Below are 26,916 nucleotides of genomic sequence, written 5' to 3'. Positions count from 1 at the left end.
TACTCTTGCTCAAAGAGATAATTAGGGCTAAAATATAAAGGTGGGGTGGGGGAGGGGTAAAAGCACTATAATGAATTCTAATAGTTTTTCATGTTTGAAGGATGCCAACAAAGTAATCCTGAAAGGTGAATTCATCCATTTATCCTTCTAGCAAACTCACAAGTGGGCTTCACTAAGGAATATTGCTGAATATGTCTAGAAATTTGCAAATGAAATCAAAGCAAATTAATTCTCACAGGATGGTGTTTTTTTTGCATTTATTTTCCCCAGCATAACACTCTTCTCATCAAACACTTTAGAATAATACCTGATGAGAGATGTGATGTATTCTCACATCACAAGACATTTAGTACATGTAGATAGGTATGAGTTCATAGAGATCATATATTTATTTCACTAATGATCTGTCAACCACTCTCTCTATTGTAATAAATGGCTAAGTAGTTACCTAAGCAACAGACTAAAAAGATTTTTCAGGAAGGGTGTGACCACCTTGTCCACTTTAAAGAAATCTGAAAGCAAATATATTATACTAGTTCTAATATGATCCTAATAACAGATCGATTAACAAGTGATTACCTGCTTTACATAGCTTTTATTGCCTCATTAAGTTTTTGAAGAATGCTTGGGGAATGCAATATCTCTTTTCATTTGTTACTCTTACAAAAGTAGTCAATTAACTTTTAAGTAACTAATTAGAAGTAATTTAATGTTATCATTCAGGGGTAAATTATAGGTGTTCGTATTTTCAGTTTATTAAATAAGGTATACATATAATCTCAGGAGTGTTTCTATTTAGTTGTGTTTTATGCTGCATTCAACTTTACCAACAATAATTTACAGGTGAATTATAATTGCATTTAAATATTCTTTACCAGATCAATTATTAGGAATATATGTTTGTATGCTTGGTTAATATGCAAAATGAGATCAAAATAATTCAGCCATCATTTAAACTCCAGATGATGTGATTAACATCAAATATGAATGACAATCTAACTCTTGGGAAAGGAGACTAATCACGTCCAGAAAGGCTTCAAAAAGGCCATATGATTAAGGAGAATTTGAAGATAACTTGAAGTAATGGCACAAATATATACTGAGATTTCAGAATTATAACTACAACTGAGAGTTGAAAGGTAATACAGTTCATAAGGAATAGGATCAACAAACAACAAAACAAAACAAATAAATTCTGACCTGCTATCAGATCATAAACTATATCATATTCTCACTATTTTTATGTCATTCTAAATGGCTCTTGATCCAGGGAGACCTTTTATCTTTCATCTCAGTTTAGTTATGTCCACTGCCTTAGAGGACAGAATTTAAACTATACTATGCTATTCCTTGGTCTAGTTAATATTCCATTTAATATTCAAATAGTGACATATTGTATCTATGGAATAAATGCACATTGTCTCAAGCTGTGGATAACACTTTTAAAAATAACTTCAGCCTGTAAGGACACTGTATCTCTATCCTTAATAATAGAATATTTGTTATTTAAAATGGTAAATAAAACTTGGTATTAAATCATTACCAGCAAACCACATTGCTCCCCATTCCAGCTTTTGTTCAAATTAATATCATAAGTCTTCCAAGCAACACCAAACAAGTACACATATCTATTATGCTTTAAGTAATTAGTTTTATTTCAGTAGTCACTGTTCAAATGTACTGGACTATTGGACAAGAAAAACAAAATAGAGTTTGTTGTAAAACCTGTTGGAATATATTTTTGTATAATTACTTTCTAAAAAATGGCAATATAACATGTAAATCTCAAATGAAAATTACTCTTTTAGTTACATATGCCAAGCCTCAGTTGAACTATTCCCTTGTGTAGCAGTACATTTTCCAGGGATTTAAGTGTAAAATCAAACTTAGAAATGGCTGTAAGATGTTCTTTTTCTTAATATTATGGTGTTGAAAATCAAGACTATTAAAATAATAAAGTAAAATCCTTTAAAAGATGAATAAGAAAATTAATGTAATTAGCTGTACTATTTCAAGTAATTTGTGAAATAATTTTTTTTCAAACTTGGATGGGAGAAACGTAAGGGGGTGTTTAAGAGAACATTTTTCCCACTATATTTGGAGTCAGATATTACACACTGACTGCAACCATGGTTAAGCTGCCACCTGAAACATCTATGAAAAGTGTCTGTGTTATATTCTGCACAGTATCTGTTAAATGCTATATTTGAAAATGGTAAAAAAAAAAAAAAGTATTATTTTATGACTTTACATAGGAAGATTCTCTTCCTTTGCAAAAGCAACCAGATCATAAACAAATATTTACTTAGTAAATACTTTAATAATGATATTAACATATCTTTCTGGAGTTAAACAGTATTGAAACAAATTGTTCTTTTGTTACTTGCTAAAACATGAACAGCATGTTTTAGAAATAATAATTTCCTATTTAATCCATTTCCTTTTGTTGTAAAAAAAATGGCTACCTTGGATATCTGATGCTCAGAAGTTGTATCTATCTTGAAGGAGACATTAAATGAAAATGAAATGTAATCATCATAAAGAGAATTGATAATGGATTTGTAAATACATGGAAGAACAAGTAACCTCGTTCCACATTCAAACTCAAAGAAAAGGATGGACCTACAATAGCAAAGTTTCATGGATTCCTTCGGTCATGAAATATCCTATTCTCATAAAGGAGGGCACAAAGAATTCCATTATATTATATTCACATCTTTAACTTTTCCATTTTCAAAGTAGGCTTAGAAAGAACAAAGGACTTAGAACTGTTCAATGACATTATTCTAGAGGAAGTACTCTACTAGGGGGTTCCATTTTGCCATCTCAAAGAGAATTTTTTTTTTTTTTTTTTTTTAGCTGTCAGAGTGCTTTTTAGCCTGTAGATAGTGTATGAGCAGGGAGAATTCTGTTTGTTCTTTTAAAAATAGTCCAAAACATTTCAGTCTTTGTGAAAATTTCTTGGAGCTTAAATAGGAAATAAATCCAAAGTCAAATTCTCTATTAAGCCATCCATGTTACTTGTTTCTTATTCCGCTGAGAACAGTATATCATAGATCTACTGAGGCTAAAATAAGCTCAATATAAAGATGGGAATAAACTATAGAAAAGTCTTTGATTTCACCTGAAAGTCAAACAGATCTTGAAGTTATACAAGGACACTTTTAGTTTATCTTTTTATTTTTAAGGTTAAAAATTTGTTATGCTTTCCTATGTTAGTAGTCATGTCTTATTTAAAACCTAAAACCATCTTACAGGAAATTTATATACATACTACAGTTGTATACATACTACAGTTGTTCATTTTTTTCCATAAGGTGATTTTAAATAAGACATGACCACTAAAGTAGGCAACTGTAACAATTTTTTTAACTTTAAAAATTGTAAAACTATATACACTTATATGTGTTTGTTTGTGTGTATGAATTTGGGTACCTATGGAAAATGTAGACAAACTAAAAAATTCCTGCTATTCATTTAGGAAACATTTCATTGAAATGTTACCATTTTTCAATTGTTGGGAAAAAACGAGGAAGGAAATAGAGCTGCTGGGTCAGCGAAGTTGACTTCAAGTAACAAAAATGTGATTTTAAAATTCCTAGTGTAGCAAAGACTCCAGTTTAATTTCGCATGGCCTAATATCTAAGATACTATGTGTGGCGTTGGCTTTAGAATTTTGAGAGATCTCATTATCATGTATTATATAGAGAAAATAAAACTAAAAGATGGAATTAATTTGATATAAATTTAATACATCCTTTCTGGTCATGCCATATATTATTTTAGCAATTAATAGTGATAGCATTAAAGTTTATATCATCAACTCCTTAACAGCATTAAACATTCTTCTGCAAGAGGAAAGCAAATTAACATTTTTTCCATAAGCTATATGACACAATAAAGGAATTGGGGGTATAATATTTTTCCAGTTTTGAATGAAGGCCATAATATTTATTCCTAAATGAAGAGTATTAGTATATGATGTTGAGTTGTAAATAGCTTCAGTAGATATTACATTTTTTATTCACAACTATACATCTGACAAAGTTTTAATATCTAGAATCTAAGTAACCTAAAATTAAACAAGCAAAATGATCCCCATTAAAAAAAAAAAAAAAAAGATGGGCAAAAGACAGAAGCAGACATGTCTCTAAAGAAGATGTACTAGCAGCCAACAAACATATGAGCAAATGTTCCACGTCAATAATCATCAGAGAAATGTAAATCAACCACAATGAGATACCATCTCACAGCAGTCAGAATAGCTATTATTAGAAAGTCAAAACAACATAGCTATTATTACAAAGTCAAAACAACAGATGCTGGAATCGCTGCAGAGCAAAGGGAACATTTATACACTGTTGGTGGGAATTTAAATGTTTGGCCACTGTGGAAATCAGTTTGGAGATTTCTCAAAGAATTTAAAACAAAACTACCATTTGACCCGGCAATCCCATCATTGGATATATATCCAAAAGAAAACAACTGTCCTACCAAAAAGACACGTGGACTTGCATGTTCATCATAGCACTATTCACAGTAGCAAAGACATCAACCTAGGTGACCATCAGTGGTGGACTGGATAACGAAAATGTGGGACATACATACAATAGAATACTACACAGCCATAAAAAAGAATGAAATGATTTTCTTTACAACAACATGGATACAGCTGGAAGCCATTATTCTTTTTTAAATTTTATTATTATTTTTTATTTTTTTGAGACGGAGTCTCGCTCTGTGGCCCAGGCTGGAGTGCAGTGGCGCGATCTCGGCTCACTGCAAGCTCTGCCTGCCTGGTTCACGCCATTCTCCTGCCTCAGCCTCCCGAGTAGCTGGGACTACAGGCGCCCGCCATGACGCCCGGGTAATTTTTTTTTTTTTGTATTTTTAGTAGAGACGGGGTTTCACCGTGTTAGCCAGGATGGTCTCAATCTCCTGACCTCATGATCCGCCCAGCTCGGCCTCCCAAAGTGCTGGGATTACAGGCGTGAGCCACCGCGCCCGGCCAAAGCCATTATTCTAAGTGAATTAACACAGGAACAGAAAACCAAATGCCACATGCTCTTACTTATAAATGGGAGCTAAACACTGGTACACATGGACATAAAGATGGCAGCAAGATAGCAGCAAGAGACACTAGAAAGTACTAGAAGGAGGAGGAAGGAGTAGGGTGAGAGTACTATGCCCGGGACCCGAATGATGGGATCAATCATACCCTAAACCTCAGCATCCCAGATAACCCAGGTAACAAACCTGCACATGTACCCACTGAATCTAAAATAAAAGTTGAGGAAAAGAAAGAAATTAAATTTTAGATATAGGAGAGTGAATATTATCTGCAAAGACATGAAAATACTCTATAAATATTTAATTTTATTGTATAAATCTTCAGTCTTTTCTCTTGAAAAAGTGGTATTAGAATATTTTTAATGGTATTATTTACGATTCATCAAAATTTTGCTGATTTATTTACTTTCTCATTCTCCACTCCCTCACCCCCTACATACACACTGACAGTAGAAGTCAGTGTTTCGTTTTGATATTTTCAAGAACAAGGTTTGTCCATTTATCCCTTTAAATCTTTAAAAGTTTTATCCTTTCTTTTTTATTATTTTTCCTTCATTACCTTTTAATCACATAATATATAAAACATTCAAAGGGATATTTGTATCATAAGTTATTTATAAAGTATAATAACAAAGTGAACACTTGCCAATCACCACCCAAGAATGAGAACAGTACATAGAACAGAACAGGTGAATTTTCATTCACCTATACATTCCTTCCCTCTTACAGCCTCTTAATCTTCCCACCCTAGAGCAACTCTGCTGATCATATTTCCGAGATAATTCCAAACTGTTTAACAAAGCAGTGAACCAATGTACACTTTCAAAGAAATTGAAATGAGTTTTATTTTATTCACTACCACATCAGCTCTTGTTATTTTCAAACTAAATTTTAGATTTTTTTCCAACATATTGGATAAACAGAAGGTATTTCACTGTGGTATTGATTTGCATTTTACTGATGACTAATAAGATTACATATATTTGTTTTGGCCATATGTCCTTCCAGTTCTGTGAACTACATGTTGTATCCGTTATCTATTGCTGTGTAACAACTTATCACAAACTTAGTAGTTGAAAACAAAGCACAGTCATTTCAGGGTTTCCACTGGTCAAGAATCAAGGAATAGATTAACTGGGTCCTGCTTTGAGTCTCACTAGGCTACAGTCAAGTTGATGGCCAGGTTGAATTTTCACCTGGCCATTCAACTGGGGAAGAATATATTTCAAAGCTCCCCCAGGTTGTTGGCAGGCTTCATTTTCTTTGACTGTAGGACTAAGGGTAGGGACTTCTTGGTAACTGTCATGTGGAAAACACCCTCAGCTTCTAGAGGTTATCCCTAGCTTCCAGAGGCTGCCGACAGTTCTTTGCCATGAAGGTTTTCTCAAAATGTTAGTATACTTCAACACGCATGTAAGAAGTGTCTCTAGCATATGTCTGCTTGGAAAACAGTCTATGTAATGTAACATAATCCTGTGAATGACATTCGATCACCGTTGCCATATTCTATCCATTAGAAGTAAGTCACTGGCACTGCCCACGCTTAAGGGGCTCACAAAAATACATGAACAGCCAGGAGGCAGGGACCATGGCAAAGGCAACCCTAGCATTTGTCTGCCATACCTGTTTATGTATTTTGCCTATTATTTTACTTGAAATTTTTCTTAACAATTTATGTTTTTGTATGTTATTTCACCAGCTATCTATATTGTGCGTATTTTTTCCTAGTATGCTACTTGCCTTTTCACTTCATTATAATGAAAAAAGACATTCCATATTTAATGGAATTACACTTATTAATTTTGTATGTACGTTTTTTGCTTTTTCTAACTTACTTAAAAAAGAAGATAGACTTCTAATTCTTTCTAAAATGTTTAATGTTTTACACTTAATTTTTAATTAAATTGATATGTTTTTGTGCTCTATAATCTGTTCTGTTGGTCAATATATCTGTCTATTGGCCCTAATGCTGCATTATCTCTGTAAGAAGCCTTGCTATCAGATAAGGCAACTGCCCCCTTCCCATACTTTTCTTCTTCTTCAAGACTGACTAGGCAATTGTTAGAATTTTTCTCTTTAATATATATCTTAGAATTAACATCTTATTAATATTTATGTAACTCCTTTGGACATTTTAATTGGGTTGCACCAAAACTATAGGTTAAAGTGAGAAGCTATACAAATTTATGATACTGAGTCTTCTTTCCATGCTTATGACATATTTCATTTATTTAAGCCTGCCAATATATTTAATATAATTTTAAAATTTTTATTTGGTCTTACCCATGTCTTTTAGTTTTCATTTGAAGTTTTTAGTTTTCATTTTTATTGCTGTCATAAGTTATATTTTTAATTATTGTTTTCTATTTTTGTTGTCATTGTCAATGGTGTGTAAAAAGACAATAATGTATTTGTATGCACCGATGTACTAATATATCCCACAATTTGGCTAAACTCCCTTATAATACTTAATAATTTGTTCATAAATTCTTTTGGCTTCTCTAGGTAGAGGGCCATATCATTTTCCAGTAATAACAGTCTGACTTGTTCTTTCCAATCCTTATGCTACTGATTTGTTTTATTTTAATATTAATATAAATTTCAGCATAGTGTTGGAAAGAAATGTAGATGTTTAGCACCTTGCCTTTTTCCTGATATTTCAGGAAATGCTACTAGCATTCCTCCCATTAATAAATGTATCCTCCCTTTCGACCCTTCCTTTTGCCTTCTTCATGGGACTGAAAAAAGTAGGTGTTCCCTCAAGAGTTAGGGAAAGTTGTTGACACAATGGCCCAAAATGGATGGCCAGAGCTATATTATAGTAAGGAGAGTGTGTTTACACTGGGAAAGCCTGAATTTGAGCTTCACAGACCATAAGGGGTGAGCACGGCCCTTTACTAAAAGTTAGAACACTGCAGTGTGTTGAAACCCATGTGGACATGAAGGTGTCTGTGTAAGAGGACAGCCAGGTGTGGGTTATCACAATTCAAGTGGGGTGAGAATGGCATCCATGTGGGAGGGATCAGGAGGCTGACTTTTGAAATCTTTCTACAGTCCTTTTCCAAAATTAATAGGGCTGACATGTTACCAAGAGGGTACTGTAGAAATAACAGAATGTAATATCTGAAGCTAGGTTATAAAAGACATTGAGGCTTCTGTCTTATTAGCTAGGATTACTTGCTTTGGAGGAAGCCAATATTGTAACAGCACAAACAGGCCTATGGAGAAATCCTCATTGAAAGAAATGAATGCTTCCTACCAATAGCTACCAAGGATACTAGCCAACAGTCATGTGAGTGAGCCATCTTGGAAGTACATCCAACAGTAAAGTCAAGCCCTCAGAAGACCGTACCCCCAGGCAACATGATGCTACACCTCTTGAGAGAACCTGACCCAGAACTCCCAAATACCCTATGTATGTTTCTGTACCCTATGCACAGAAACTCTCTAAGATAAAGTTTTGTTGTTGCTAAGTTTCGGAGTAATTTATTACTGCAATATTATACATGTTTGATATTCTGGCATTATTATATCTTTCATTAGACTAGCATATATGAAAAGAAAACAAGTAATAAAAATTATATGAAATAGTCACCTTCACTCACTGAAATCCAAATTTACACAATATTGGCATAGAATGTCTATCACGTTGTACATTGGAATGTGTGAAGGTGTGGATAGATATTTTCATGCATCGCTAACGAATATATAAACCATAAAATCCTCTGAAGGAAAAAAGCCTTAACACATACTCAACTGCTCAACTGGGAGTTTGAGTCCATGTGTTGTTAAACTCTCTCCCTGTATCTCAAAATGCCAAATAGAAAGACGGAAACTACTTTCACTCACTTCATTCTCCTGCAACGAAAATGGAAAAGAAAATCTTCAGAAAGGTAATGAAGATACTTCCTAGATAGGCACATTAAGCTAAAGCTCCCTCCTTGCTTCCTTCAGGCAACCGGACCATTTAATGTGGTAAATCAAGACTCCAGCAAGCAAATCTTAAATTTCTCTTCTCCCTTATCATGGACACATTTGAACAGGGACTTCACATTCTTGGAGCCAACTGATTTTAACTTCGTTTCTGAACAGAGGTCTCACTTCCCCTATTTAGTATGAGCAAACAGACAAACCCAGACACAAGAACAGGGCCAATTTAAGAGGCAAAACTAATGCTTCCCTGAATAGTAGTTTTTGTTGTACTTCAGGAAACAGAAGAAAACTTTAGAAAATCTATAATGTATTCTCAGTGTCTTTAGAGGCTTTCGCATATTCTAGCAATCAAAGAAACAAAATTAAAACTGTCATGTCTTGGCCTTTCGAATTGTTAAATAATTTTAACTGCCTGTGTTAGAACAAGGGAAACAGAAACTCTTAGGCAATGTTAATTGGAGAATAAATTGATATGTTAATTCAGAAGTGAAAGTTAAAGTATGTAATAATAATCAGATTTTTTGATTCAGTAATTATACTACTAGGAATTTGTCATTGTAAAGATAATCAGTGAGACATACTAATCTATATATAATGTTTATAGCATATTACTTAAAATAGAAAAAAATAATAAAAATGTCTATCAATATAAAATCATTAAATAAATTATATGATCAGGATGCCAGACAACTTGTTTGACTAAAATGTAAAGCAATTTAGTTCATAAGTCCTCATTTCAGTTAAGAATCAAAGAAAAAAATAATTCAAGTTAAAATAGACAATAACTCCATCATTAACATGTTCAATTTATTATTTCAACTAAGTTAAATCAAGATTCTCTCTCTTCTCATTGTATTTTTCTTTTCCAGAAAGGCCTACGTTCCCAGGGAGCTTTCTCAATGTCTCTGATTCAGTAGATAAACATGTGTTTGAGTCACTATCCCTTTTCCTGCAAACTTGCCTGGCCTGGTTTTCAGCAGATTCTGGTATCCACCATATCCACTACATCTCCTAGTTATGTCCATGGCCTCGTTATGCCTTGTGATCTCAAAACCCTTGTTCTCTGAGTTGGCCTAGTCACAATTTCAGTCCTCTACTAGTTAGCTGATCCTCTCAGCATGTTTTAATTTCTTTCTAACCTGAGACTAAGGAAGCTATTTTCCCTGCACTATTGTGGCATTCTTGAGATTTTCTACATAGACACTTCTCTTGCCGTGGCTCATACAGCACTTAGATATTGGGTTGTATGTGAAAACTGTCATAGACCTGCAGTCTCCACCATTCGACCACGAAAAGTCTTTTGCTTGGGCTCCACTACCCTCACGTCTGCAGTTTTAGTGCTAGAAGCGGGCAGTGATAACCTTGTTTTCTCTATTGCAAAGCTCTCTAACATCCCATCCCCGGCCAATTAGCTGTGCTTATATCACTTTAGAAAGGAAAGTGCTCTTAAGAGAATTACTCTTTAGTTCATATTATAAATACGTTAAGTCTTTGAGGCTCTGACTTCTTGAAACATAGGAATCTTATTCTATCTTATCAAAGCCTGGTTCTTGCAAAAGAAAGCTTTCTTCTCAGGATTACATTTCAATACATTTCAATATCCTGTTCTCGGGATACATTTCAAAATCCACTTTGCACTTTAGTTAACATAGTATTTTTTAGATTGTATATAACCTCATATTCAGGGCAAGGGGTATTTAAAGGTAACTCTGCACCTGAATAGTGGTAGGGGATAATGTGATTTTAAAAAAAGGATTGGAGTAAGCAATCTTTTAATTTAAGTAATATTAATTTTCCATTTATGCAAACACAGAAATGAGAATGAAAGAAAATATGCTAAAATATTTATAGTGGTTGTGTCCATATTGTATTTTTTTAGGTTTTCTATAAGGATATTTCTATAATTGATATGTTTCTTCTGTGTCTGATAAAATTATTATCAAAGATTCTCAATTACTTTTTTCTGTGACTATTCTGGAGATCTTTTTCCTCACTCCTTGTAATATTGCTTTTGTTGTTATTTTAGAGACAGAGTATCTCTCTGTCACCCAGGCTGGAGTGCCGTGGTGCAATCGCAGCTCACTGCAGCCTCTCTCCTGGGCTCAAGTGACCCTCCCACCTCTACCTCCTGAGTAGCTGGGACTACAGTTGCCGACCACCACACCCCACTAATTTTTTTATTTATTTTATTTTAGTGTAGATATGGGGTCCCACTATGTTTCCTAGATTGGTCTCAGACTCCTGGGCTCAAGCGACCCTGCCACCTCGGCCTCTCAAATTGTTGGGGTTACAGGCATGAGCCACTGCACCTGGCCTGATATTATTCTTGTTAATAAATTAAGATACCTGCTTCTTTATTTAAGGTAATTTTTCATCCCACCTGCATCACTTGAATCTATGTTCTTCTGGATTAAGAATAAAGCCTTCTAATTTTCCTCAGTGGTACCACAACATCTTGTATATATTTTAAAAGTTTTTTTCAATACGACAAAACAAATTACAGGACCTATAGCACCTAGTTGTCTTTGGACCTTGATTTTATCTGATGCACCTCTCACTGGGAACTTAGTTTCTAGACAAGATTTTGCCCATCATTCATCTACTTTTACTGTTTTCATAGTCTTATTTTTTTTAGAATCAAATAGAACACCCAGTGTTCCTGTAATTCTTATCATTTGATGGGTATGCAACCAAGATACACCATTAAAAGAAGATACAGGCTGTTTAAATCCCTATTCCCTAGTTCAACAGAGCCTAAACATAAAAACATTCATGAAGAAATTCAATACCTCCTTCTCTGAAGTATGTTTCTGTTTCTCTTAAAATACTCTATTTCCCCAGGTCCCTAGAGTCTCTTGGACAATACCCAAGAGAGAATTTTTAAGTAACCAATGTGTTTCTTATTTATTGACTGCTGTTGGAGTTTTCCTCTTTAAATTCAAGGTGGCTAAGAACAACTTTCTTGAAGACAACGGGGAATTTGCTTTATTTGAAAGGAGAATATCGAATTCTAGTGTATGATTTTGATGGAAAAACCAAAGTAAGGAAACTCTAATACATACTGAAAATAGCATGTTTGGATCTGCTACATTGCAACGAAATGATGTCTCTTCCTACGGAAGCTGGCTGCCTTATCTCTTCCTCTCTCAAATAATGGAGTTTGAGAAATCATTTAAGTAAACTAAAACATTTTCAAATTATTGGATTAAACTTCCGCTGCAAATTTTAAGTGGAGTAAAATAGGTAGGCTATTGGGTAAACATTCACCCTCTGTCAGAGCACAAATATATTTTATTTGTCAAAGAATATTTTGGAAGATAGTTATTTTGTTTTATTTCTATTTCTTTAAAAGTGTTAAGGAAGCTTTGATAAATAAAAGGAAAAGGATTTCTAGAGATGCCAGTGAGATTTTTCCTATGAAGTTACTTCAACACTCATTAAAATTTAGTAAAACCTAGAATCAGAGAAGCGTCATGCTATTTGGATTTGTTGTGCAGAAGCTGAGTTCTGGTAACTGCCAAGACCATTTGTTACGCAGATTCCTATTCTTCTTCCTTTTTAAAAATGAACAATGAAGCTCTTTATTCCCCCCATTCCATGTTTTACAGCTGAGTCACATTTTTTATTTACAAGACACCTGCCTCCCCCTTCTCACATCTCTGAAGCAAAAATCGGGGAATAAGAAAGTCCAATTTTAAATTCAATCAGCACACAAGCCATTTGATGCAATGGATTCCATTTCTGCCACTGTTTCTGCCTACATCCCCCATGTGAGGGGAAAAAAAATTTTTTTTTCTCCTTTCAAGAGCTGTGCATGTGCACAGGATGGCTAAAATTCAATTTGAGTCTGTAGGATTATTGGCAGTAGTCGTGGTCCTAGTGATTGACTTTAACCCCTCAGAGCCTCCCTGTGTTCCAGAGAATGCTGATGGGTGGCATTTTAACTTCCCTGAGCTTCAAATTTTAGACACCAAAGTGTTTTAGAGAAGAGAGTTTTACACAATTGCAAATACACCAAATCTCTGCATGGCTCTTGGAAATGAAAGTATGCTGTGAGCTTTACAGGAAAATATAATTTTATAGAGATCCTTAGAGAGAACAGGACAGGAAGGAGTTCTTGGCAACTCCAGCAGTCATTTCCTAAAGGGGAGAAAGATGGGGCTGGTTTAGTTATATGACTGATTCTAAAATCCGTAAAGGTTGATTTCTTGAGTTTTTCATTATTTTGACTCTCAGCCTACTCAAATGAATTAAATAATAGTCACAAACTAAATTGGCTTTCTAAAGAAGATACAGCTTTGGAGACCTCTTCTTGGCACATAAACTGACATCGTATCTTCTATTCAAAATCAGAAGGCAAGATTTCCTAAGAAAGTATCTGATTAGAGAAATTCCACAAAGTGAGTAGAAATGACAACTCATTATGTCCCCTTTTCACATGTGGAATCCTTTAACTGTTATGGAAACACTGTTTCCCCTTGCTCTTGGAGACTTAGAAAAACTTAATCTCTACCTCAGTCTCTAAACCATTCCTGCACCTGCCTCTATGTTCCCAGATACTTCTGAAGTCAGTTCACAGAGCAGCTCAATAGAATGCAACCTGGGATAAAAAATCATGCCTCTTTTTAGGGATCCAGCTGGGTCATGATTTAAATTTAAAGGAATATCAAATCAAGTACTGACTGTGAAACTTCACCATCTTCTTTTTGATTTTCTAATGCTCAGTGTGTCAATCTAGAAAGTTATTTAGTTGAGCTGAATAACTACAAAGGGAAAAAGTTTCACCAGGTTACATTCAGAGAGGGAATGCACTGGGGTAAATTTTTTAAAGAACAAACTTGGGTGCATTAAAAGATACTTTTCATGATTTAAATTATGGCCCAGCTGGATCCCTAAAAAGAGGCATGATTTTTTTATCCCAAGTTGCAAATGTATACCTACATACATAAATATTTATATATATATGTATACACACACACACATATATAGCTCCTCAAAATAATCTTACAAAACTTCTTAATGAATAATTGTGGGGATCTGAAATTTTTCATTGGTCATATAACTTTATAAGTTTTAATGAAAATATTTTTTCAATTTCTATAACCAAGCAATGATTAGCTTATATTAGGTAAATATTTGAACTCCATAAAAAAGTCTAGAATAAAACTGCAGCCTGTAATCACGAAGCTAAGAGAGAGAATTAAGATTCTCCAGTATATAGAATGTCAGCATTTAGCCACTCACCCACAATAGAACTATTTCTCAAATATGTGTGTGTATATACATCTTCTTCTCATATTTTGAAAGTGGGTACCAGATGGTAAATTTAGGAAGAAGACAGGGAATGATTGGTTTGGAATAGCAAACTTTTGAGGAATATGAGTAAGAGGAATAAACAGGACCAAACAAAAAATTATCTATTATTTAGATCTAGGTAGGACTAATTTTATCAGCAAGCAGTTAACCAAATTCAAATAATTATAGAGCAACTATTTTTACCCTGAATTTTTTATGTCACATAGCAGAAGTAAACAATTAAAACATCATGTCTGCTTCTTTTCATAAATTTGTAGTTTGAATAACTAAAGAGAAAAATAGGAATGGGGTGGGAGTTGTAATTGATGTACATTTAACTCTCAACAACTATGGTTTAAATAACACAGTCTTATGTTTGTATGCTGAAAATTTTAAACATGTGATTCCTTTTATATAATCTGGGCCAATAAAATTGTCTTAAATATAAAAACCTGACAGCAATCAATGATCCATACTTGAAGAATGGTAAAGAATGGGTGACACAGGAAAAAAAAAAGATGAATTTATTCTTCATCTGATAGTTGATTGATTGAAAAAACATATAAATAGATGAATTACTAGGCTCTGGAAAAACAAGAGGCCAAGATTTTTTATTTTAAATAGGCATTATTCGGCAGTTTACTTCCTGTGAAAACTGAACAAGGAGAATACAAGTATTAAAGATGTTAAATTTCAAGCTATAAGTGTCTGATTCAAAAAAAATTTTAAAAGGGAGAGAGAAAGAACAATCTTGAAACATGATCCTTAAAACACTATTTTGAGTTCTGAACATTTCAAACTTGTTTTTGCTAACCACAGAACTTCTCAGGCATGAAAGCAACCCCCAGGTTAAGCAAGGGTATTTTATATGTGGGTGCTCATGGCTATTGGCAGTTACACCAATTTCTTTCTGATCTGTCATTTGTGTACATACCCAGCTTCTGGTTATCATACTTTCAACATTAAGTACTTTAACCTCTAACCCCCCTCTCTTCTTAGCTAAATGATCCCCTTGTTTTATCTTGCTCTTATAAATCTTTTTCTGAAAATTTTCATTATTTGTGTCAATTGTGTTTGAACCTCACAATACATAAAGAATCTGATCAGAAGTCACATGAACAGTAAAATTTACTAATACATACCAGAGACCTTAGAATAAGCAGTGTTGCTTATCTTGATCACCTTGTTTTACAGAGAGTAATATTTTAAAAATTTTTGACATCTGTTTAGGGTAATTTTATCAGAGCAGACACCAGTCCAATTAGACTTCTGTACCAGGGTGTGGCAACTAAATATGAGTCTGAAGTTGAATATTAAATGTTATACATAATTATATTACTTGGATACACACACATATTTATGTATACATGCACACATATCTTGATAAATTATAGAATGCTTTTAGCAGCATTGTGTAACTCTGACCCTAATATTTTTGTAGTGTGTGCATTACAAATTAGAATCCAATCAAGAAGGACATTAAATTATTAAAATATCCATTGACATCTTTCTAAAAAAGTGACTGATAAAGCTTATTTGTAAAACATTGCATTGTGCCCACATGGAGGATTCTTGTATCATTCTGAAGACTTTCAATATTTGGAAAATGACTGATTGAATAGATACAGATAATCATATGAAATTGGTATCTTTAAACACCTTGCAGGTATTGTCAACCAGGTTTGATTGTAAATATAAGAAATAGTTTAAATTTAGGTGAATGTACCAATATTACTATGCATACATGTTTTCCTTTGTAAATTAATTCAAAACCATAATTCATTCCTTGATGCCCTATCAGTTATAAATAATTAATCTTACTAATCAGGAACATATAAAATAAAGTGTTTCTATACAATAATTTGTCATAGTCTAGATTTTGAATTTTGGAGATGAAATTTGTAACTTACTAGTAAGCCCCCTCTAAATGTTCCAATGGTAACATGTCACAACCTGCCCAAGCTTTTTTCTTCACAATTGTATGCTGCACAGGCAAATTTACTACAAAATACTTCTGCAGAAGCACCTTTAGTGTTTTAGAATTACAACTTCATCCCATGCATACAATCTTTTCAAGTCCCATAATTGTTTGAAAGAAGGTTTTGCTTCTTTGAAAAGTGACATTGCCTACCCCAGGTTGCAACTGATTAAAACTGAGCTCTAATTGAGTGCATTTATTAAAGTTTTCTATTTAAAATAATTGAGATATGGCTCTGCAAGCAGTGGTCCATATCAACTATGTCATATTATAAATGGAATGGAGCTTACGTCATGCCACCTTTAGATAATTTGTGCAATTGTCTGTGAAGTGCTGCTAGACAATCTCTGTGAGTGACTGTTCTTGTCTTTTTATTCAAATAAGCTTTATAATAGGCTATTAAGCTTGTTTTCTAGAGATATACTTCAATAATTTATACAGCATTGCAGTCAAAACTAACCCATCACTTGTTTTTAGCAACGTATCTTCCTAGAAGTTTAATTATTCAGTAAATTCACAGGATGAGATCAACTAAATGTAGAAAATCTCATAATCTCTGTCCCAGAAGTGCTGAAGCACATTTAGTAATGAGAGGAAAAGCTAAAATATTGATAGCTAACAAAAGATAGAGCAAAAGTTATAGCACATATAGTAATAACAAAAAAACACACCACTTTAAAAATATGTTTTTAAAGGTCCTTCAACTTTGATGTAATTGGGCTTTTACCATGTTCTGATCTTTACTACTGATATTCTAAAATCTCACATTTCTCCTCTCCCCCACTGAGATCTGCCCTGGCATGTACTTAGTCAGAGGTGATTTTATATGAAATCTCTTAAAATAGCTCTTTATTGTTTATGATCCACAGATCTGTATCAGAGGCATTGTTCAGTTCAGCACATTGACACCGCACGTAAGGATGGCTTAGATTACCCTGAGATTATCAATGCTCTCCAAAGAGCTGGCTTCAAATCATTCTGGAAGCATCCACAGTAAATATTTCACTATCGACCTAACACTGATTAAAGAGATTGCTATTATTGAACAGAGAGGAGTCAGCTGCCTCAAAGTTTGAATTCTCTCCAAAATAAAGAGTTGTCTTTGATTGCCTTTGACCAACTTCATTTTTTAGGAAAAATCCTTGGGTCATCAGTGAACAAACATACTTTTTGAGACAGAGATATGGGGACAAACTGTCTTCTTTTTCACTACGACATTTTCTGTTTTAACATAATGAAGATTTAGAAAGCTAACTGATAGTCTGAGCTAGCTCTGTAAGTGTTTTCTGATCAGTTAGCCTGGAGTTGTGCCTTCCAAGATGTTACATCAGACAGATTTCCTGAGTTACCCACAGAGACACAGAAGTCACCAAACAGGATTGTTCAAGGGTAGAGAGCTGGAGACACAACAATACCACAGAGGATGTCACAGAACATAGCTTTCATCTCGCCACAGTGTTCTTGTGTAAAACTGTAAAGCTATATGAGACATGGCAATTTCAGTTCACAGAGGTTTAAGGGAATCTTTGTTTCTACCACACGAGACCTTTAATGTGAGTTTGAGGTTCTAATAAATTTAAAATCTCAAAATAAAATCTGGCAACCACATGTATGTTTGGTGTAACGTCCACTGGCATTAATATAACTTAGACTTGAACACACCCATTAGATAGTTTATACGACTAAGTATTTTTAAAACTATCAATACATTTTAATTATATTAGTGTAACCCCCTCCATATGGCTTTTATATAGTCTTATGTAGTCAATAATTTCCATCTACTGAACCCAGTCAATTATTTAAAAAAAAAAGACAATCTTTTCTAATGAAAAAAATTACTTCTCTCTACATTTAACGGAAAAAAAGGTCATTTTGGGGGTTAGGAGTAAAAATAACATTTTTGCTGGTTTCCTTTTAAAATATTGTTTTGCTTCATGTAATTCAGCAAAGAGGCATTTGGTCTCTCAACATAACTGTCTACATGATCATATGAAGAAATTATACCAGTTAAATGTCATGGTAAAAAGTGTGGAAGAAATTCAGATGAAAATTAGCCTGTAAATAATCTTGTATACTCTCAAAGGAAGCACTTACCACCCTGAACACACTTGCGGTGACTACTGGGGTGAACACAATCGTGATCAGTTTGTTGACAGATTCTGATTCATTATAAACTAACCTTCCTGAGAAAGTCGTCACAAGGTTCTCTGGTGAATAGCTTGTGCTGGAAATTATTAGGGTTTCTTATGCAGATAGTTACCCAGCACGTGACCCTAAAACAAATTGCCCCTTCTTCCAGAAGGGAAACTGCCCTGAAATAGATTGCCCATTTATTCACCCACTCCCTAAACCGATGCATGCTGATTGAAAATTCCAGGGCATGACTTTTCCTGGAGCTGTCCTCTATCTTCATTTTAGCTGTCCAGAAAAAGACAGGACATCCAAGCTTTCTCATCCCCTCCTCTTCAGTCCCACAGAAACTGCTGTCATTGTGTTACTTTCTGCTGGCCAGGCAGGTATGAGGCTTCCACTGAGGTGGATGTTAAAACAGCCACATGGGTCAGCAGGCAGATGGAGAAAAGGACTAGGGAAAGCGAAAGAGTGCATGCTTTTTAAAAAGACAGCATACCGCGAGGTCACACATATGCCGCTGGGTGATCTGACACTGCAATACTGACAGTTGTTAGATAGAATTTAAAAGATGGGGGGTTTTGTAAAATTATTTTGGACAGTTCAGTGCTTCTAGATAATTTTATAGGGTGCTCTGACATTTAAACATCTGAAGTAAAACTTCCTTTGAAGGCCTGACAAAGGTATAGTCATTTTATCATAAGCCAAACAATCTTATTTTTATAAGAATAATTTATCAGAACTGTGAGTTCCCTGCTGAATCACTTAAGTGAAACTAAGAGAAATCAGGAAGTGAGGATGAAAGACAGGACGAAAGAAAGTTGGAAACGCAAGGAAATACTGGAAAAAAATAGATACATATTCTACTCAGTAAATGTTTTGTGTCATCTCTGAAAGAATAGTAACCCCGAGAGGCTCCAGAAAGTACAACTCTGCTTGGCAATGATTAGATTGGTGGTTAGACCACCAGCCCTGCAGAACAGTATGACTTATATGCTATTTTCCAATACCAGGATTGGAAATCTAATTTACAGTACCCAGCCCTTTTCCAAACACCAAGGCCTCCATCTAAAGTATGTCATGCTATTAGGAACACAACCATTTAACCTCGATGGCAGCAATTCTTTATGAGCAAGGTTCATCCTTCATTCTCCACAGTTTGGCTAATAGATGGATTCAATAATACTCTTTCAGAATCTGGGTACACTGGGGCTGCTTTTATGCATAGGTAGAGAAGCAATCAACAGCATCTGGTGTCTGAAGCCCAAGACAGCTGACGTCTACAGTGACTCAAATTGCCACACTTTCACTACTTCAAGGAACAGCGTTAAAACCAAAACTATCACACTGAAAATCCTCAGGAGGTGGCATTTAAAACATAAGATATACAAATGGTGCCACTGAGAACTGTACAGGACAGAACCTATAAGGCCAACATTTAAAGCCTCCTTGAAAGCATTTAAAAAGAATATTATTTTCCATAGGAAGACAACATCTTCAGCCATTATCACCCATTAACTCTTTCTCCCTGTATCAGACAGGGTCCAAGCAGAGATACAGAACTAGTGGGAGATAGATATTAAGAGATTTACTGCAGAGAATTGGCTTATGGATTATGGGTGGTGGCCAGGCATGTTCACAAGCCTTCAGGAAGGGCAGGCTGAAAACTCTCAGGCACAAGCTGAAGCTGCTGCTCACGGCCGACACTCCTTCTTTAGAGAAGCCTCAGTTGTACTTTTAAGACCTATCACCTGATTGAATCAGGGCCACTCAGGTGATCTTATTTAAAATCAACTGATTATTCACTTAATCACACCTGCAAAATACAGCAATGCCTTAATTAATGCTTGATTAAATAACTATAGATTGGACGTAAGGCTAGCCAAGCTGACACATAAACCTAACCACTATAATTTCCTATCAAAATGGTTTCAAAGTTGACTGCTTTAGTTTTCTATAGTAATAGTAAAGAAGAAAACTAATAGCCAGGAGAGAAGATGTAGTGACACCCTATGTAGTGTAAGTATCCTCCTAGGTCCCTATCCAGAAATCTGAAATAGACATTTTTCAAAAAGACATGAATAGGCTGGGTACATGGTGGCTCACGCCTATAATCCCAGCACTTTGGCAGGCTGAGGTGGGCAGATCATTTGAGGTCAGGAGTTCGAGGGCAGCCTTGCCAACATGGTGAAACCCTGTCCCTACTAAAAATACAAAAATTAGTAGGGTGTGGTTGTGGGTGCCTGTAATTCCAGCTACTTGGGAGGCTGAGGCAGGAGAATTCCTTGAGCCCGGATAGCTCCACTGCACTCCAGCCCGGATGACATCTCAAAAAATAAAAAATAAATAAAACGAAAAAAAATGATATGAGGATGTAGCTAAAAGAAGAAAGGTTCAACCTACAGGGGATTCACTGTATTTGATAAAGGAGGAAAGCAATATTTTAACATATTAGTGTGCTTTTGTTCCTTGTGATTTTCATTTCCTTTAATTCCTGTTTATTTCCTGGCCCTTTCCCCATTTAGACTAAACTCAGAGCCATCCAGTGTTTCATGGAAGCATTGCAAAATCCCAGTCCTGTGAATACCAGAAGCCAAGGCATAATGAGGAATTCAGAAGAAAAAAACGTCTGCCAGGGATGATTTTCCCTCAACTATATACTAAACTCCAAGATGAGTTAAAATCTGCTTTTATGATTCTGAGGAAAACCGCAGAAGAGTGAGAGACAAATGAGTGAAAAAGAAAGGTAGGGCTTCGTAGGACCACGGTTAACCTATTCTACTGAGTTTTAATTCAAGAAGGGGAGAAATGATAAATATTTCATATGATCTAATAGTAGAATAACCTGTGTTTCTTATTTCATTAGATTTATCCACACATCTGGATAAATGTGTGAAAAAGGAAACAATTTTTTTTAATCTACCATGGGAAAGATCAAAAGAAATATCTTGGAGGACTGTGACCATCCTGTAGTATGTGGACTGAAACTATCCCCATAATATGCTATAAAGGAGCACAGCATTCTCAAAGAGGAGACTTCATTTGGTTAGAAAAATAAATGATATTTATGTGAAATGGTCTTTCCTTGGGGACTATTTCAGTATTTGTTATCGTGGAACTAATTTAACTTAAAAATTTGTTAGATCAGTGTCCTTTCTACCAACAGGTGACATAGAATATTTATAGCTGATGTCTTCAACACTTCATTCTATAACTTAACAAATATGTTCACCACAGACTACCCTAAATCATGTCAAAGTTTGAATCTGAGGCTTCTAATTAGATGCCCTAATCACTTCATTAGGTATTTCCATAGTTTTAACATTGTAAAATGGCTACACTTTGGGATGATGATAAGGTAAATTCATGCAACAGTTTTATTCCAGAGGAAGTAACATCTGCAGGAACTCTCCGATTGCATGTGCTGTCAGTAAGATGCAGGCCTCAGAGTCATAAAGGCCTGACAACACATAGACCTTGGAGTTTGAACTATAATTTGATGACATGTTGCTGCCATTCCTACCGGTTCATCTTCTAGCTGATGCACTGACTTATCTTAACAAGAACTGTTATATCCTGGTCCAAGTTTGCCTCACTGGGAACTCACAACCAAGGGAACTCAACCTTGTTGAAACTCTTAGTTCCTTACCATTAATGGCAGATTTGGATTGCCTGTGGGATTGCAGCTGATGTGTAACCTCTGCCTCACTCAAGCATATTGTTAGTCCGTAGCCCTGAGTGCAGAAATAATTGACAACCTGCTCTATCTCCTTCTGTATAAGCCTGCAGGGCATAGTCAGCCACGTTAAACAACTGCTAGGTGACTGCTTCAAATATTGCAGGCTTCTACTGAATCCTGCTCAAGGGCAAGAACTTTCTGGAGGAGGAAAAGGAAATCTTTATATCAGTGTTCAAGTTTCTGGTTGCATCACTGATCAGGATGACAGAAAGAAGACTGGATATTCTAAAACAGGAGGCACACCCATCTCAATCCACCGGACATAGACAAAAGATAAAATGGGGCTATGTACATAACATTGCCACTCATGTTGAGCAGCTTTTTAATCTGTGTAGCAGTAGACATGTTGTTTTTTTAAAAAATAAATTCATATACAAAGAGAACCAGAAGATAGGCAGAAAACAGACTCTTCCAATTTGGATAACTTAATTTAAATGTTTTCCCTTTCCAATTTCTTTTCCAAAGTGTAAAAATATTTTGCCACAGTATAATGTTCTTTTATTAGTTATTGGTCACTACACTAGTCATCTACTGGTACATAACAAACTACCCCAATGCTTAGTGACTTAAAATAATTTATTATTCCTTATGTTTCTGAGCGTTGACAGGCTCATCTGGGTGATTCCTGCTTAGGGTCTTTCACGTGACTGCAGTCAGATGACAGACGAAATTGAAGTCATTTGAAGACTTCTTCACCTATATGTCTAGTATCTAAGCTGGGAGGAATAGAACAATTAGGAGTTGATGGAGGTCTCTTTCTCTCACTTTCTATCCCTGGGGCCTGTCCACATGGCTAGCTTGGGCTTCTTCACAACATAGAATGTTCAAGGTGTTGGATTTCTTATCTAGTGCCTAAGAGGGTCTTCTCAGAGGAAGGAAAATGAATCCACCAATTCTTGAGGCCTGGGTCCAGAAACAGAAACAGCATCACTAATGCAGTATCTGTCTGCATTCAAGGGGAGAGGTCTCTATATCTTAATAGAAGGAATGTCAAAAAAGTGGCATTTTAATCCAACATAGCTACCAATAACAGCAAGTCATTTTTTTTCCATTAGTGTATTTTCCATTTAAAGTACCAGTTAATGTTCCCTAATGATTAATAATGACTTTTTGAGAGTTACATACGCAAATACTTTATTTGTGACCGGTATGTGATTAGAGCATTGTAGGTTATGATAAGTTGAAGTCATTTTGACATAATTTATCAGTAAGGCCATCTATGGTACGCATTCAGAGTGCAGGTTCAAGTAAACACCCTTATAGTTCACTAGTATCATGTACATTATATATTTTACATAATATAGACTTTATTTTTATTTGCTGTAAGTAAATATTACATAACACCAACTTCAATGGATTCTACAATATGAAATTTCCCAAACCTATAATCCCCTCTCTAAAAATGGAAAGAAGATATGCATATGTTTATATTTCATAGTTACCTAAAACACGCACGTATTATTCACACAAGAGCATGTTCAAATGTAAACAAATGGTATCAATTAAAATACATTTGGCTGCAAATAATATAATGGCCAAATGTCAATGGTTTACATATAGGGATATAATTATTTCTCACAATAAGAAGTTTGAAGACAGGTGGTTCCAGAGTGGCAGCAATGATATTACTACTAACACTGGGGTCTTTTAATTTATTTCTCTGTCCTTTTAAATATGTTGATTTTTCTTCCTTAGTTTTCTCACTTCATAGTCAAAAAATGGCTTTCACTGCAACAGGCATTATTGTCTTATTCCACATCCCAGATCAGTGGGAAATAAAAGGCAAAACAAAATTTTTCTTTATCCGTGAAAATAAACCTTCCCAGAAACTCTAGTAGATATTCCCCTTTATTTCCCAGGCCAAAACTAGGATATATGCTCACCTCAAACCACCTCAAACAAGGCCAGACCTTGTTTTTACTCAATTCAAAGGGCCTCTATGTGATTGATGTAATATCTTAAACGAGATTTCATAAGCAATAAGAAATGAGAGAATGGCTTTTATAGGCCATGAACAGAATCTATTAATGAGTTTTTGGTGGATTTATATTACAAAATGACATTGTTTTGTCATAGTTCCCAACGAGGACAGTGGTCTTCTTTGTGAGTCTCTAAATGACCCAGTCTTATCCATGTTAGTGCTGTCTCTGACAGTTGCCTCCTGATTTTACTAAGTAAAAACTTACCAACCTTCCTGTACAGGAGGCATTTATTTGACAGACTTGCATAATCTATCTACGTATAATTTCTGAAAGGGCTTTGATTTTTCCATGACAGGTATAAGCTAGAAAATAGAGGTAATCTACAAATACAGCACATGGTACTCCAAACTGGCAAAACTTTGGTCTTTCTGTCCTTAGGAACTGCATTGCTACTGTCTCCTCACCCTAAAATATGAAATTGAGATCCAAGTTCCCTGGCTTGAGTAGAACCTAATAATTCATAATTATCATTGACCAGAACAATCACATACCTAATTAAAGCCATATGATGTCACTCTAATGCAAATTCTGACATTTGTAAATTGGTTCCAATGAGACAACCAAGGCAAATTTTGAAGCTAAAATAAAAATCTGGGCTACTTTTAAAGATTCATTTATTCAGTAAAGTCAAAGTATAGCTTTGCTAAATGTTTCTAAACCTCTTCTCTTGGGGCATACATTCACTAGGGCTTTAAATGACTGTTAGGAACCTGTTTTTCTAGTTGGTTTCAATGTTCAACTAGTGTTTTCTAGCCCTGTACTATTTTAGTTTTCCTAGAAAAGAATTGTTATTCTCTCTCCTCAGTGAGGTACATATTAAGAGGTCTGATGTCTCTACCCTCCTCTTTTTACTTAAATTACGATAGTGGAAAGGTGTCCCCTTTTCTCCACTCAGCAAGCATGTGTTCAGCATCAACTCTGCCAGAAACCTTATCAGCATCCAGGCAGATAGGCTCTCTCCCCTCACACAGCAAGTGATTCAATCCAATGTAAAGAACATAAGAAACACCTTGAGGGAGAGAAGAGTCAGTTAAAAAAAAAAAGATAGAAATATTATCAAGGTATATAGTCAACACAGAAATTTCAGAATGTTTAGTAAATGTTTACATGAGAATTGAGTGGCTATCAATATCAAGGTCTTTATGTAAAGGACCATTTAGTGGATAGAAGAGAAAATATTTTAATTTTAAGGGACACAGATTCCTTTATGTGTTGAAAAAAAATGAGTCCAGAACTTATCTTTTAAAATGCTAATAATACTATTGAAAATCAAAATATTAGTGAGATGATTTGATAAAAAAGGAAAATTAAACACCAACATCTATGGGATAGGGTTTACTGGAATAGGTAGATTCACTTCCAAATAATTGATGGATAAGAGAGAAAAAAATTATGTAGGTATGAGTATTTTAACAAGCTTACCAAAAATGTATTCAAATAAAGTAAAATGCACTTTTCCAACTAGGAAACATTTTTAAATTGGTAAAACTGGCTTACAGAAAATACTGAAAACCCCATAAAGTATTCTCAGAAAATTCACTGGGTTGTGGCGAGGAGATCCTCACATCCGAAGAATGAACTTTTTAAATTGATCTTAGTTTCTTTCCTTTCTCCCTCTCCTTATTTCTGATCCTAAGAGTCATGGCCTCATTTACGTAAAACTCCAAGCAGAATAAAGGTTTTAGGAAGGTAGACATTTGACAGTAGTTAATGAAGCCAACTCCCACTCTAGAGATATTCCAAGATTTTGATTGCCAAGCCCTGAGCATCTGCATCTTTGCTTTACTTGGGGGTTTTTGCAGGATCTGTTGACCAGGGGGCTGACAGAATGCTAAATATGCAGACAGTACAAGGCATTTTTTTTCCTTCAAGTTCTACCTAGCATGCTCAATCCCCAGTTCTCCTCCCTGCCACCATATGAAGCAGAAAATGCTGGTAATTAATGTTGGCAACTCTCTAGACACATGCTACCCTAGAAACCTCAAGGCAACTGCACATGCACTTTGCAAAGCTTAGCAACTGTCCTGAGCCACCTAAGAAGGAAATGCAGAATGAAGGACTGCCTTCAAACACCTCAGGGACTAGACAGACTCAACACCTCAACGGATGACATTTGAACAGTAGTAGTGACTCATTATGGTCCAGGAGTAGTGGCTCTGCCCTGAATGGACCACAGATGTCTACTTGGGAGAAAAGAAGGGAACTAAATGGTGAAAGACACATTGCACACTGACAATGCATTATCGTTGCTAAGTTGGCATCATACGTGGTAAGTACTAACCTTCAATGTCAAAAAACATGGAAATAAATACAACTGCTAATGTCTTATCTTTAAGCAAGTTATATAAATCATCATCTTGGTTTACGCTAAGTCATGTCATAAGATAAATTACTTTGGCCCACAAATAGAAGGAAATTTTACAAAAATGTAAATAATAAGTAGTCAAATATTTTTTAAAACTCTATTCACAAATTATCTTACCAATCTTTCAAAAAAATTGAAATCAGTTTAATCATTCAGTGAATATAATATAATTAATATGTCTTAAACTTCCCTTAAAGCAATATATGTGATTTATGCAACAAACTGACAAATGTTATATATAAGTATTAGCAGCTGTTCCAGAAGACAGCTGCTGGAAGGCAAAAGTTTTAATGATCTAAAAATTAATAAAATCATTCATTTATAATAAGTATTGCACCTGGCTTTGCTGATTTATGCGTTTGGTCAAATTGCAAAAAAATCTGTTTCATTTAGTTACTAAAATTGTTTAGATGTTAAAACCCAC

General features: G+C 35.0%; 1 long non-coding RNA gene across 1 annotated transcript in view, besides 1 other annotated feature; it reads right to left on the bottom strand.

Annotated features, from left to right (window-relative positions):
* The window catches only part of LINC02008 (long intergenic non-protein coding RNA 2008), a 477,534-nt gene that overhangs the window by 365,548 nt on the left and 85,070 nt on the right, over positions 1–26,916 (bottom strand). The window lies entirely within an intron of this gene.
* Positions 9,134–9,203: a silencer, noted in NCBI's record as "silent region_14542". NCBI's record gives its function as "represses an Ori minimal core promoter by ATAC-STARR-seq in GM12878 lymphoblastoid cells {active_cell/tissue: GM12878}" and the evidence as "EXISTENCE:reporter gene assay evidence [ECO:0000049][PMID:35858748]".

The sequence above is a fragment of the Homo sapiens genome, chromosome 3, assembly GCF_000001405.40.
Source record: "Homo sapiens chromosome 3, GRCh38.p14 Primary Assembly".
Classification (NCBI taxonomy): Eukaryota; Metazoa; Chordata; class Mammalia; order Primates; family Hominidae; genus Homo; species Homo sapiens.
The sequence above is the reverse complement of the archived record's forward strand: the minus strand, read 5'-3'. Positions and strand labels throughout refer to the sequence as shown.